At 35.5% G+C, this 15814-nt stretch overlaps 1 protein-coding gene across 7 annotated transcripts in view; it reads right to left on the minus strand.

Moving 5' to 3' along the window:
- Positions 1-15814, minus strand: part of DIAPH3 (diaphanous related formin 3) — a 498346-nt gene that overhangs the window by 12636 nt on the left and 469896 nt on the right. Inside the window, exons 30-32 of one of the 7 annotated variants that reach the window (XR_002957478.1) lie at positions 15539-15663; positions 14499-14620; positions 1202-1273 (exon numbers count right to left, since the gene is read on the minus strand). The exons of 5 other annotated variants lie outside the window; for them this stretch is intronic. Coding sequence is in view for 1 of the 2 variants with exons in the window: in XM_011535258.3 (XP_011533560.1) it covers positions 1182-1273 (92 nt within the window). In the remaining variant the exon portion in view is untranslated. Of the gene's footprint in view, positions 1-915; positions 1274-14498; positions 14621-15538; positions 15664-15814 lie in introns of those variants that run through there. One more of the 7 variants, XM_011535258.3, reaches the window with a different exon arrangement.

The raw sequence follows: 15814 nt of genomic DNA on the forward strand, positions 1-15814 counted from the left end.
GCACAGCAGCATTATCTTGTACTAGATTGATGGTACCAAGCTTCATTATGAAATCTTAAACTATTTCTAAAATTTTAGTTTCATGTATTTCTAGAAAATGAGTGAAAAAAAGAAATCTGGCATAAGTCATAGGCATTACCTTAAAGAGAGTACTCAGGCTAGTACACTACTGCCTCCTACTGTCAGTTTGAGGAAAGTGAGAGAGCCCTACTCATCCTTATTTCTATTTACAGGTTTACAGACAAGTGGCTTTCTTCCTTCAAAGGACAATTTTGTGCAGATAACCTAGGAAGAAATATTGATGTTCTCTGAATTTCCCTGAATTCTTCCCTTGCTTAGACTGCTAGATCTGTGAAAAAAAATCCAGCAAACACCGTGAGCATGGATCTTTTTCCATTCCGAAAAAGAAATTGGTTTTAAAGGTAATTCAGAAAACATCTGTTCGTTTAAATTCTATTTCACATTATTTTGTTGTTAAATTTTTCATTTTTCTCTTCTTCCCACTTTCCCTACAGGACCTCACATCACATCTCTAAGAAAAAGAAAGAGAAACAAAACTCTATATTATTTTTAAATCTTTTAGCAGCCTTCTCCTAAATAAAAATATTAACAAGTATGACATGAGTTAATATAGCAGGAAACATAACAATTCATTAAATACAGATAAATGTTTAAAAGCTGTAAGTTATCTAAAATATGAAGGGAGTACATGACTACATGACAACTCAGGATAAATAGAAACTACTTATTTCTATAACTAGCATATTTGGATCAATGATTTGGGTGCTGGTTGTAGAGTCCTCTGCAATCAAACTGCAGTTTCAATTCTGATGGTTTTTGCCGAGTCAAAGAATATGAACCTTTATTTTAAAGATGAGATTTTTGATCAGCAAAATAAGTCAAGCAAAGAGGACCTTTCTCAGAAGCTGCTCCCTTTTAATGAGGAAAATAGTAAAAGGAATAGGTCAATGTCACTTCAGTTATTTTTTTGCAAATAAAACACCAAAGTTTGATTCCTATGAAACCCCAGGCTGCACTGAGGTCTCTGTAAAATTGGTTTCTGTAAACAACTCATTTTTAACACAGCATTGGCAGAGCTTGTGCTTCCTGAGACTGTGGACACACCATCAGATTGGGCCACACAATCCCCCTCTTTCCCTTTACTGCTGTAGATTCTTGCCTCAGGCTTCTCTTGTCAGCAGGGACTGTTTCCTCAAAGACCTGCTTCCAGTCTGTCTTCTCGGGGCTTTGGGCTTTGGAGCACCTCCTGTCTCTATGGTAACACAAAACACAAAGACTAGAAATGTACCATACAGAGGGCAGAAAAGAAAGAAATTAGAGTATAGTACTCCTGGTAAGCTAAAGAAGGTTCTGACAGCAGGAAAATGGACAAGGAGGACAAGATACAGTAACTGTTAGTTGTTCCATTTCACATACATCCTCTTAAAAGAGCTATAAGTGTTAGCACAGAAGCCTTAAAGTATGTGGAACTTTATAATCCATGTGGTATTTGAAATTAAAAAAATATTGGAGACCCATATTGGCCATAAATACTTGGCAATTCATTAAGTTACTGAGAGAAATAAGAATTCTCGGTGGAGACACAATGCACAAAAAGAATAAATTACATCAAGTATTACGGTATGGTTTATGTTAAAGACAAAGAAAAATATGTTACTATCAAATGGCAGAATGTTCTCTTTTTTATTTTTCAACTCTAAATACAAATTTTCCTACTTTATTTCAATCTGGGGCATCATAGTAAATGTAGCATCTGTTAGTTCAGTGGTTCAAAATAATCAGAAGGTTTATGTCCTCAAACTGTTGGTCAGTTCCATTTGGTTTCTTGGTCACAAGCAGCACCCTGAACTCAGAAGTGTTGTCTCAAAAACATGGTGGAGTATATGAGGAAGAGTAATGCTGTCAATTTAAACCCCAAAATATTTAAGAAACACACACACCTACACATTAGGAAAGATATATTATTCATATAGATATCTAATAAAAACATACATTGTCATACATATGTATCCTATCAGGATTTTAAAAATATTTCATGCAAGCCTATGACGTGTTGTTGAATATCAGTGTTGAGAGCTTGTTATGAACTTTAGAATGCCTATTAAAAAAATGCTGTAGAGATTGCTTGGCTGCTGGGCCTCAGGGCAGAATCTGCTGACACATTGCAAGCATTTAAACTCATAGATTAACGAAGTTGGTTCTGACCTCTGTTCCTTGAGGTAGTTAGTACCCCAACAATTAGACCAGCAGAACTTCAGGGATGCTAATCATACACTTACTTGCAGAACCCTGTTATTAGGATCTAAGAAGACTTCTTTCCTTAGTCTTTTTTTTTTTTTTAACTCAATCAATGAAAATGCAGCTATAAGCTATAGCCACTAGAGGTCAGACGGCTACACCTGTCACCAATCATTAAATTTGATGGGGCATTATAGTTCCCTGAATAACTTTTGGTGACTTAAAAAATATAGAACAGAGTACACTCATTTACAACTATTATGGTAAAATAATAATATGTTTATTAATTAATTATTCTATTTCTAAAGGTCTTAGATTTTGCAATGGTACTACTTTTCTCTATTGGCTTTCATTTTATTTGGAAGGGGAAGGAAAACATTGCAATAATGGAATCTAGAAACCTTTGCAATTGATGGAATCTCATGATACGAAAAGACCGCTGTCTGGAGTAGAACACGGAAGCAATGTGTTCTGTAGTTTTACCAAACACATTTGGTAATGCAACTCTTACGAACCTTCCGATCTGAATCATTTTATTTATCTAATCTAATCTCTTGCCTTTTTTCTCCTGGTATATACAAATCTTATTGTACCTAGTTATAGCTTTACTTATTAAAGATTATTATAATGGGAGGTGTTACTCCTTGTCTTTCCAATGAGGTTTATTATGTGGCATATCACACATACTTTGTTAAAAAAACAACAAAATGCCGGGCTCAGTGGCTCATGCCTGTAATCCCAACATTTTTTTGGGAGGCAGAGATGGTAGGATTGCTTGAGACCAGGACTTTAAGATCAGCCTGGGCAATATAGTAAGACTCCGTCTCTACAAAAAATTAAGAGAAATAATTAGCCAGGGCATGGTGGCACACACCTGTAGTCCTAGCTACTTGGAAGGCTGAGGTGGGAGGATCACTCAAGCCTGGGAGGTTGAGGCTGCAGTGAGCCATGACTGCACCACTGCACTCCAGTCTGGGCAACAGAGTGAGAGCCTCTCTCAAAAACAAAAAGATTAAAAAAAATTTTCAACTATAACACAATCCACAAATAAGGAACTCAAATTTAGTTATAACAAAATTATGTTCACTTTCTCACCAACTTATTAATAAAATAACTGTTTTAAGTGTTTTTTTTTTCCATTTCAGGCTATATTTTACAAGACTCATTATAAAAACAATACTAGTATGTTAGAGCACTTACTAAGTGCCAGGTTTGCACAAAGTGCTTTACAAAAATCATCATGTAGCCTAAGAAAGTATGATTTTTATACTCTCTAATTCACAATGAGGAAGGAGGCTTTGTGGGATTAAGAAACCTGTTCTAATTAAGAGGCAAGTTAGGGTGGAGCTCTGATGCAAGCTCAAGTAATCCAATTCAGCTCCTGGCTCCAAACTATAGCACTTTAATAACATTTTTAAACTGTAAATGCTGTAAAAGAAGCAGGAAGTATTTCTATATCAGTACAATGAACCAAAAAGAAACTATGAGACACTTCATTTTTACTGATATTGCTTCTGACAAATATCCTAAAAATATAGTTAGCTCTCTAGTTAAAGAGAACCAGGAATGTTAATTTCCAGGTTTTCTGCTTATATGGTACAGAGTACTGTCCATACTTATCTTTGCTGTATATCTACTGACAAGAGCAGCAAAATTTATGGCCCAGGTTCACTAGTACATTGGAAAATATTAGAAGCTAGTTATTTTGATGTTATTATACATAAATCCTCACATTTTAACAAATACTACCCAATTTGTACGAAGGGTCCAGAGTCATAAAATTATTTTTCAGTTGTTTTCTTTTTTAACAAAAATGAGCTAACCACAAAAATCTTGCTCTATTATTTATTTAATAATCATTTATTGACAGGGTCTTGTCTGTCGCCCAGGCTGGGGTGCAGTGGCACCATTATAGCTCACTGTAGCCTCAAAATCCTGGGCTCAAGTGATCCTCCCCCTTCACCCTCCTGAGTAGCTGGGATTACAGGTGTGAGCCTCCATGCCTGGCTTCAATCTATTTTAAAGGTTAAAGTTTTAGCATATAGTTTTCTCTCACTAGCAAGCTATGCTTTAGGACACTATTCTTCTATTAGGAAATAGTGCAGTTTCTTAAAATGCCTTTAAATTTTTTAGCTGTACTTATGCAGAAAACTCTATATAAAATACTGCATTAAACTCTATATATAATACTGCATAAAACTGTCTGTATAACAAGGAATACCCTATTCCCTAGTCTGAATCATTGTCTATAATAATCTTTCATCCCTCAAATCTCAATCAAATATGACCTCCTGATTTTCCAAAACATAGCGATGCCAACTTGTATTGTATTTCTCTCATATGTTTTGTATCCTAGTTAGCCTGGTGTTGTAGTTTTTTGTGCCCCTGCCTCATACTCAAGTCTAGTGATGACCATAAACTATTCAAAGTAGAGTCTATGTACTTCCCATTCTTTGTGTTAAAAGCGGTACTTTAATGCAGATGTGTCATATTTCATCATAAGATTCTACATTCAAGAGGACAATGTTTCATAATTCTTTGGTGTACTGCAAGGCACAAGATAAAGAATATGCTTTCATTCATTTAGTCAAAAGTATGAACAGTGGGCCATGCTGCTTTATGTTTCAGGGATATGGCAGAGAATAAACAGACACAGTCCCTGCCTTCAGGAAGCCTACAATCTAACCACATTCATATATCTATATCGACAGAGAGATTTGCTTATTACCTTCCCTATGTAACAAGTAGAAACAGTAAGAACAGCTTGGATTGTGTTGAGTAGTCAGTCAAACCTCTCATTTTTTTTCAAAGCCGTATTGAATCTGGAATCTTTTATGACTTTTAGCAAAATTAGGGTCCATTTTGTCTTAAATACTAAATACAAACATTTAAGTCCTGTGGTTGTGTTAGATTCTAAAAGAAAATACATAGAGCTGGGGGTGGGGTGTCATCTGTAGCAGCAGATGATGAATGAAGGGAACATAAGCAATGTGAAGGTAATAGACACTAATTAGAGGAAATCTTCTAATCCAGACTAATGAACTAGGATATTTAGGGGACTCATTGAAAGACAAGAGGCAGGAAATAAAAAGGAAGCTATGTAGAAATGCAGGCATGAAGTGATAAAATCTGGAAGAGTTTATAAAGGGTGCATTGGGCAGAATTTGAAGAGCAGCATACGAAAAAGGAAATGGATTTATAACCAGAAGTCCTGAGTTTGAGACACGTTTGTCCCAGATGTCATTACAAATGGTGGCTTCCTCTAACGTTCTTTCACTGAGGTTAACCTCTTTTTACTTTCCTTGTTGTCAATGCTATACTAAAGAGGAAGAATAAAATGAATTCATCATTCCACCTGGGCCTCTCCTAAGAGATTAGTGTTCCAGTTTTCCATTCTCTTCACAGTCAGTCTGAAAGTAGGTCTTAATCCAATGGTGATGATGGTAATGCTACCACTTATATAATGTGCCTGTGTGTCTGCCAGCCACGAGGAGGAACTTGAATAACATTTCTCCTGTTAATTCTGACATACTCAGTGAAGTTGTTGTTAATATTCCCATTCTGCAGGGGGAGGAAAAAAAAAAAAACAAGGCCAAGGAGCCAGCTGTTATCTGTGAGACTCTGACAACGTTCTTGGTTTGCTGCTGTGGCTTTCTTCTGGGCCTTCTTAAGAGAACTCTGAATATCTCAGGCAAATTAAAAACCCTTTTATGGGATGCAAGGTTGGGAAGCATCTGTTGTCTCCACAGATTTGGAGCTTTCTGCCTGAGCTTTCTGCCACGGAGCAACCTTTATGTTTATCAAGCTGTACGCTTATTGATTTGTTTGTTCTATGGATTTACAGAGAACCAAAACAATGTTCCCCGGCTCATCTGGTTAGTTGCAAACGGTACATTTGTGACAGCTTAGATCAGAGGGTGTTGTATTATGGGGTTAGTTTATATATAAAAGGAAAAATTGCAAAGGTTTCTTCTTGGCTTTATCATTTACTTTTTATATCTTGGAACAATGCTCTTCATCTGTTTAGACTTCAGCACCTTTCTTTGTTTACTGGGGATGATTAAACAAGCTAAGCCTACAAAGGATTTTTATGACAAAAACAACATATGCAAAAGCTCTTTGAAAAGTACAAATCATACTCATCACAAATCTTGAAAGTGGCTGGGTTTGGGCCTCTTTTCTGATGGTTACAGCAGATAGATCAGTAACAGACACTAACTAAAGATAGATAACTCCGGGTTAAAACAGAGTCATAGAAGCTTTGGGAATAATTGATCAACATATGTCTTTCAAGGTTGTACAAATAAAGAAAGAACTTTCATTTCTAAGACTTTCAATGTAATCTATCTCATCAGCAAACTGGTTTATGCTTACACATAGTATCGTTAAATTCCTGGTTACAATGATAAATCCTATGATGTGTATTTATGTGCTAATTTGCTGGGGATAAGGTGGGTGGATATCCAAATTCAGAATAATATGTCCTATGAGAATGGCAGCTGTAATACATATGAATTACAGCTCTTTGTCATTAAAATAACCTGACAGCTTTCTCTTACAGCATGGTAACAGCAATACACTTAATATGAAGTTTGAGGATTTCAGGGCACCTAGAGTTATCAAGGTAAGAAATAATTTATGGAAAGATTATTGGGGAGTGTAGGGGTGAAGGGTGGGAAGGAGATTTTCTTAGAGTCAGAGAAATATTTCACATTTTCTTAAATATTGGTGCTTTTTAAACTGACTTCCTTCTACTCTTACCTTCAAATATCTTGAAATATACCTTCAAATATATCGAAATATCTGTGACATTTGTTTTGAGTAGTAATGAATACATTATGCTCATGAATAAATGAGAATCAGAAACAGACAAAGAAGAACAATTGACATCTCTTGTTTAATTTCACTGAAGACCTCTTGTTCTTATATCCTTGCCTTTTCCAAGTTCTTGCTGGCTATCAAATATAGGTCTCAAAGAAGCAGGTATGTGGACACATTAGCGCACAGAGCATCCACTGAATCCTCCTTTGAGGTGGTTATTGTTTATCTCCATTTCCCAACAAAAACACTGAGCCCAGAAGTTAAGTGGATTACTTTAATGACAGAGCAAGGAAAAGACAGAACCAGAATGAAAACCTGTAAGTCTCAGTTTCAAGGGGTACTCTGTCATCGCCTAGATCATGGATTCCTTGTTCTGTTGAAAGGGGGGACTCTCTTGTAATACAAAGAGATGATAAATAGAGATGGAAAAGTGGTATCACTGTTGGTTGTGTAGAAGAAAATAATATACTGGAGCTGCAGGAGATCTAAGCAGCTACAGGCTTAAAGATTTTGTAGTAACAGTTGGAGTAAGAAAAAATAAAGTTCTATTGATCATAAATCTTGTTTTCATGTGGAAGATATGTGAGGACTGCTACAATTATTTTGAAATTCCTGTGTTTCTCTTTTATTTGGTTTTAATCTGAGATAAACTAAAATCTATAGTCCAAGTTAACATTGCAGTAGTTAAAAGTTGGCAATCCCCAAACTAAATGTGCCACTGCATGTGACTCTGTGTATTTAGACTCAGCTTCATCAGTCACAAAATACTTTGTGATCTATAAGATCCTTTTTGATTCAAAAGCTATTTGATTCTATAAGCAAATAAAATTACATTGAAAATAATGTTATAAATATTTGTTAGTGGAATCTGCTATAGGAGAAAGAAGTAGATAAACCCCAGAAAATGTGGCACTCAGTCATTCATCTTTTTTTCTGAAACAAAGGGAACCGGAAGAATTCTAACTTCAGATAATATGATTACAGGCTAGTTCTAAGCTGTAAATTTGCCAGTTACTACAGGCCTTATTTAGTACCTTAGAGATGTCACTTACACCTTTTATCTTACACTGTAAGAATAAAATCACAAAGGATATCTATTCACATCAATGTTCTACTCAAAAGAGGAAAAAAAATTCGGCTCACAGGTGACTGTCATGCAAGAGTACTCAGAGGTTCGAAAAGAACAAATAAGAAAGCACTTTGGGCTCTTCAGGAAAAAAAAAAAAGTACTGCTATTTAATAAACTCAAGGATCTTTTCCCATTGAGATAATGTATAAAATGTGTTCACGGACAAAACATGGTATTCATTTTTAACATACTTATGTTTTATACACATTTACTTTGTTGTAGCAAATATAATCTCTGAGTTATTTCGGGCTAGGGGTATAGAAAGTTTTGCGGGAGAATAGGAAGCCTTTTGCCTGGCTTGTGTCAGAGGTTTATCAATTTACACAACCAGGGTAAGAACATTCTAAAGCAGACCCTATCATCACACATCCTCAGGCAAAACCATGTGCACCAAAGCATTACAGAAATAGCCTTCTGAAGTAGAATAGAGCACTAGGACAACAATGAAAAACATTGCAAACACCAGAAGCTTTCATGGTCTTTGACAAGTCATGGTATATAAAACAGTAACGACTTCAGAGCCATGGAGGTGCTAGGGGTTCATGTAAAAGCACCAACCATTTCTCTTTGTCTGCTCTTAGTTGAGCTTCCCTGTAAAGACTGAGTCTAGACCAAGAGGCAATATTAAAAACAAAAGGTTAGAGATCATCATGGGACATTAATTATGCAAAAGAAGGCAAAATGAATTTAATCAGAAGCAGCAGACTCAGTGCAGGAAGAATTTTCTCTTTTTGACAGAAGCAGTTAGGAAAACATTTATGGTAATACCACAGCATCTGCTGATTACAGTCAAAGCTGCAGGACACCAGCGTTAAATCACTGAGCCATCCTGACAGTTCCTGGGTACTCCAGTCACATCCAACAGCAATTTACAATGAAATTCATCCAAGTCTAAAAATCAGCCAACATGCCTCAACCAGAGCAAAATAACTTAGTTTGGACTTTTAAAAACAATTATAAGAGGGAATTATAGCTGATAAAACTTTTGATGGAGTATAAGTATTTGTCTCCAACAAATACAGTTTTAAAGAAAACACACCCATTTTTAGATCTATTAATATGCTTTGTGATCAGTCATATTTTGGAATTTATAGGAAGAAAGGATTTTATGAGGCTAAGAATACAGGAAGTAGAGTTTTAACCCTTTTGATAAGACGTCAGGACAAAATCTGACATCTCCTCTTAGTGTCTTGAAATGATATATTGAAAAAACTCAGAGAATGTTAGGATAAATTTTAAACAATTATAACTTGGTTGCTAAGCAAATATGGATAAAATAAAAAGTTCAGAGAGACAATGAACCACAATGTAGTGTAACATAAGGATGATTATTCGATGAACTGCCCATAGAAGTACAGGCAGGACAACCACATGCCATTATTACCCACTGGGAATTGCTGAGATGGTAATTAAAATAATGAAATCCTATAGATATTAACAACTAAAACTTTAATACTTAGGTGTTTCAGAGGGCTTTCTTGTGGTCAAAAACATATTGGTGTCTAAATTTAAATCTTTGAATGACACAAGAACCCAGAGAACAAAAGATTGTATTGAAGCCTTCAGAGATTAGCATTCACAAAAGTAAATGTCTCATATTTTATCCAAAATCAATACCAAAGATTTTCTTCCCCCAGTTGCTTTGGGAGTTCAGCTAAATATTATTCATAACATGAGAGATTAAAAGAAGAAGGAAACAAAAACTTTAAAATGGCTATTTTTGAAGGAAGCCATAGAAATTGTGGTCATAAGGGATGGCTCTATTGTTGTCTTTTTCTCAGCTTGATAAATTGTTTCAAAGTATGTTGGCCAAGCTAATCACTAGCACAATATTCACCTGCAATTTTAAAATCTGAATTTCTTTATTCTTTCCCCAAACATATTAAAAATGTCTCTAGACTTCTATTTATAGATATGACCTATTGATGGTAAAAGTGCACCTGAATAATCAAAACCACTGACAAAAAAATAATAACTGAAAAGGTCAAAAAGTGGATCAATTGAACATTTCAACCTCACAAGTAAGTCCAAACATAAATGAATAATGAATCCATAAATGTTTATTGAGCACCTATATGCATAAGACACAGAGCTAGGAACCACCAAGAAGTTTAAGGTACTGTCATTGGTCTGAAAGGGACCAGGGACAAAAGAGGAGCTTATGTTGACTCATTTTTAGTGTCACTCAAGTGTCAAATGAATTGTGCACATAATAAATACAATAGAATTTTGGTGGAGTGAGGTCCACCTAGAGATAGTTTAAGTGAAATCATGCTTCATAAGGGCAGGGTCTCATTTCAGTTTTGAGTAACAATAGGATTAGATACATCAGAAACAACTTGCAGGGAACTTTACGTAAAGGAAAAATCTATTAAAAATGCTACCAAGTACCCATTTAGTGGATGGTTAGGATTCAAGACAGGCCACACTCATGCAGATGAATATATGAAGACAATGAAAAAAACTCACATAACATGGGTTAACTAATACTAACATTTTAGTATCAAATTATGTTGGAAATTTCACATAGAAGATGTTTATGTAATAGAGTTTCACCAAAAAGCAATCAACTACGTAGACTGGGTTTCATCTTTATTATGTACTAGTCAATCCCCAGGCACAGAAAGAAAGCAATGATTGAGGGAGAGATAATTGTGAATCTCTTGTTATAGAAAGTTAAAGATTGCAAGAATTTAGCACCTTCTTTCTTCTGCTGCAAGAAAGTCTCCTGAAAGGCCACAAGATTTCTGAGGAAGCTTAAATACAGGGGAGAAAGTAAAGAAGGCCTGGACTACCTGGGGAGAGAGGCATTCTAATCAGTCAGAGAGAAGAATTTGAGCCTCAAGTATTCTGTTAGGAGTACGGCGGCCTCCTGCTGTCCACACCCTGTCTCCTTCTTCACCCACACAAGAGGAAGGAAGGAATGAGCTGGGAAAATGGGAAGTGCAGGTGGTATGATAAAACCGATGAAGGATTGAAAATGGATTGCACTAAAATAAAAAACAAACAGAGTCGTCATCAGCAAACAGATGGCTCCTAATAGAGAATAAAATTTGATTAGACAGTTTCCCAAGTATATATCTGGTGCACCAGAATCAAGGAGAAATTTTTAGGCAAATCATGAAGGAAAACTTTCTTCTTCATGGAAGAAAGCAAAATTCTGAGTAAGAAACGAGAAGACTGCTATTCTGCAGGTTTGGATGGAGATATTATTTGACAGAAGTTGGTTTCCACGCTGATTTTGATGGCAGACGGTGGGGAACAAATTGGTTTTAGGGTGGAAAGATTTGGCAGATGTTGGGGGACAAGTTGGTTTTAGGGCGGACAGATTTGGCAGATTAAGAAAAAAAACTGTATTAAGCAGTGTGTGTGTGTGTGTGTGTATGTATGTTATGCAAGTGATGCTTTAAGTAAGCTGATCACAGAAAACTGAAGAAATTCAGACCATATAATTATGACCCTTCCAGGACATTTTTTTATGCTATGAAAGTTGCTACTCTATCCAAATAATGTTAAACACAGACATCCAGATTAAAAGAACTGGAAGGTCATCTAATTTGCACAATGTCACTTTACCCAAGAGGAAACCAAGGCCCAGAGATATTAACTCATGTGTTTTCGACTTGCTCATGGTGAAGAAAGGATAACATGATGGTTACCTAGCTTCCAGGTGATGGGGTTGGGCAACTGAAGTTGAAACATCAACTCTGCTCCTTTATTTTTCACTCCATTAAAAGTCCAAAATTCAGTCTAATTTCATTTGTCTGTGAGCACTTTATGCCATGATACACTGCATTTTTATAGGGCTTTATGTGTTTCAATGCATTCTTATATACATTACTTTACCTTTTCTTCAGCATGAGCAGGCAAGAATTACCAAGTTGGCTGGACAGATGCAGAAATTCAGGCATAGTAAAGTTAAACAATTTATAAAGCAAATTAGTGAAAGAGCTTGGCCTATGTTCAGCCATCCTGCTCTTGTCACTAGATCATATTACATTTGCTGGTTGGTATAATTTGCCCTAGACTGCATTTTCTATACAGAAGAGGAATTGTATTTACTTAATGTAATGAAAACATTGCACATTTGTAACAGTGTTGTTTTCTGCTATTTTTCATTACAACTGCATAGTGTTACAGCTACATTATGGGTTAAATAGACTCTTGAGGGCTAGCCTGGGAACCTAACCACCATTTATAACATTCTTTCTATGGGAAATTGCTTTGTGAATTCCAAAACAACTGATTTAAAAATTAACTTTGGGAATACACTGGTTTCAAAGTAGAAGATTGTTGGTCAGACATTTCATGTGATTGGTTGCTTAATTCATGCAATTGAAGCAAACAATAATGGATTGCCTACTATGCATCTACCAGCCATTGTGCTGAGGCCAGGGATGCAAGGATGAACAAGATCTTAGGCCTTGAGGCACTCATATCTATCAGAGAGAAACAAATTATTAAAACAAATAAATTATAAATAAGTGCTAAAATAGAGCTATGGGAAAAAATACTGCAGAAGCAAAGAGGACAGAGGAACTAGACCTCCAGGGGATTTACTATGAAAGTAACATTTGTGTTGGGTCTTGACATGTAAGTAGGAGTCTGTCAAATAAAGAAGAATAGTAGGGCATTGCGGGTAGAAAAAGAAGCAAATACAAAATGCTGGGAGGTAAAAGGGTCTGGTGTTTAGGGAGAATGATGGCAGCAACACACAGGAAGGCAGGATGGCTGTTAATTATCAGTTGCTTTTTAGTCATTAAAAATTTAAGTAATTTCTTATCTTATCTTTTTGGATTTTCCAAAGGAAAGGGGATGACTAGATTGAGAAAATTACACAGACCCTTGCCCTGCATGAGAGAGAAGAATTTCTGCTTACTCATATCATTAGTCTTGTTTTTTATCCCCATGGGTCATACTGTCAACCTTGAGCAATGTTTTGCTGAACTATGAGATCAGATCAAAGATTATAAAAGCTTACTTACTGATATCTAGGTGTTTAGGAAATATGGTAAAAGACCAGTAGTTAAAATAAAACCTGGCACATTTGAACCATTTCCATATGCTTGCTTCTGTTAAATTAATATGCTTTATATCAGCAAAATTATAATCTTTTTGACCACAAGAAAAGGTCTCACTGTGAACATATGATGATTAAGGAATATTCAGAATAAAACTCAACCTGAAATTTCAGTCTGTATATAGATCAATTTTAGTTAAAGCATGTAGAACGAATAAAATAAGCAAAAGACAGGAAGCAAAGCTAGAGAAAGGGAAAGAAGTAAACAAGGAGGAAAGAATGTTTTAGCTCAAGTGCATTTAAAATGTGTGAGAAACTTTTTTATATTCAAGTACATAATCCATTTGCAGAGGGCTGACTGAGGGTGTTTGTGACTATGTAAACTGTATTTCTTTCATGTATAACATAAACAAAAGGATACAGTCCACTGATCCTTTGTAAACATTAGTTAAAAATAATCCTGACTCTTCAGTGTGAAGCTTATGCAATGTTCATGTTAGGACTCAAATACTTCATTCAGCCTAAGACAAGTCAAAAAGGATTTTAAAAAGCTAAGTATAGAATTTAGAATGTAGAATACCCCATGTATAGTTCACAGTATTCTCTGTTCTATGGTTTTGATAAAAATACTAGAATAAAACTTATTTTTTTAATTACTTGGTACAGATTACTCATAGCTTTGAGAAATTCTTTTTTTTTTTTTTTTTTTTTTTTTTTAGAAAAGAATACAAACTTTTACTCTTGATAGCTTAGCTATTTTTCTGAGTACCTGAGAATATATCTATGAAATCTGATGAGGCAAAAGGAAGGTTGAGGTTTAACATTTGAGGGCTAATAAGAGGTATGAATGGTAAATAAATAATTATGAATTTTGAGCCAAAGAGGTCATTTAAATCATTTCTAGTTGTATCCCTTTTTTCAGACCTTTTACATCCCCCTACTTCCCTGACTGACACCCCCAACCCCCCCATCCCCCGACACCAAATAAGGTCTATATTATTGGCTGTGTCTGGAATTCTTGGTAAGGCTCACAACTATAATCCATCTTCTGGACACTAAAGAATGCTGAAGCCCAGCCTTACTCCATTCTCCTGTTTGAAGGTGACAATGTTATAGTCATAGAACCTTAGGTTTCCTTTTAATGACAAGGAAACAGGCCCAGAATGGTCAAAAGATATGCCTCAAATGACACAGTGAAATAGTCAGGGTACACTCTTTTGCCATGCAGAAATCGACCCACCACCACCACCTCCATCAACCATAACCTACTCTATTAGGCCTCTGAAAATTCAGCCTGGTGCTCCTCCTTTATTACACCAAACAGCCGCTCCTTGTTTCATGTTTTCCAGGCTGTGTATTGCTCCCTGGGAGTTATTTTGGGTCTAATTTACCTGTCAAAAGTGTGAAATACTGATTATAATAAAATCTTTCTTCTGACTCCAACTCTTTCTTTAATCACAGAGCTTACATTCTATTGGCAAAGGCAGGCATTAAACAAATAATCAAACAAATATGTAATTATAACTTGTAAGTACAATGAAGGAAAAGTAAAGGGTACAATTATGAATGTAACAAGGGACCTGATTTAAGTTTTAGAGGGAAGGCAGTCACAGGAAAATTACTATGAGAAAATTATATTTCAGAACAGAACAAGAAAGAGTTAGCAAGACAGGTTTAGTGGAAGAACGGCATTCCAGGTAGAGGGAACAGCGTGAAGGCCTCCGGTGGAAGGCGCTTATGACTGGAAAGTAGTGACCAAAGAGAAGAGTGACTGGACTGAGACGGAAGAGGTAGCCTGGGCCTGTGGGTGAGGGTGTTCTGGGACATTGTATGAACTGAGATTTTATTATTTTATTATTTTATTCAAAGAACTACAGGAAGCCACTAAAAGATGTTAGGTAGGAGTATGGGCTGGCCAGATGTCCTTTTATAAGCTCTTTGATATCATGAAACTCAGTTCTTTGTCTGATTCTGATTGTCAAAACTCAGGCTTAAAAGTGTATGACATTATTCCAAGGAATTAGGAAAATTATCAGTGCAAATCCCTCTCTCCTACTTGTAAAGACAATTTAAAGTAGATGCTCTTGGATGGTCTTTATATAGTATCGGAATTATTTGCAATCTCACATGGAAACTCATTGCGGAACAAAAACAGCGTATTTCCCAATCTTAGAAAAAAGTCACAAAGTTTATGCAAAATTCATGAAGCACGTGATGGGATATCTCAAAAACAGTAAAAATGATAATGTTTTTAATAAAAAGAGAAAGAAAATTATTGTAAAATGATATGATAAATTTGAGTTTCTTACTTGCAGAATAAACTTGAAGCTTTAATTTATATAGGGAATTATATTTTTAAATCTGAATTTTAAATGATCCTTATAATCCTCATTTAGAAAGCAAGGCCAAAAGTGAATTTTCAAGGAAATAGTTTCTGAAATAAATTATGAAATGATGACATGTTTAGTATACAACCTTCTAAATTCAACATAAAGAAAAATCTTAGTAATATCCTAAAATGTGATTCTTCAAATAAGTGACTTCATTCTTGTGATCCCTAATTGTTCTTGTGGTGCTATATATAA

This window comes from Homo sapiens, chromosome 13, assembly GCF_000001405.40.
Source record: "Homo sapiens chromosome 13, GRCh38.p14 Primary Assembly".
Classification (NCBI taxonomy): Eukaryota; Metazoa; Chordata; class Mammalia; order Primates; family Hominidae; genus Homo; species Homo sapiens.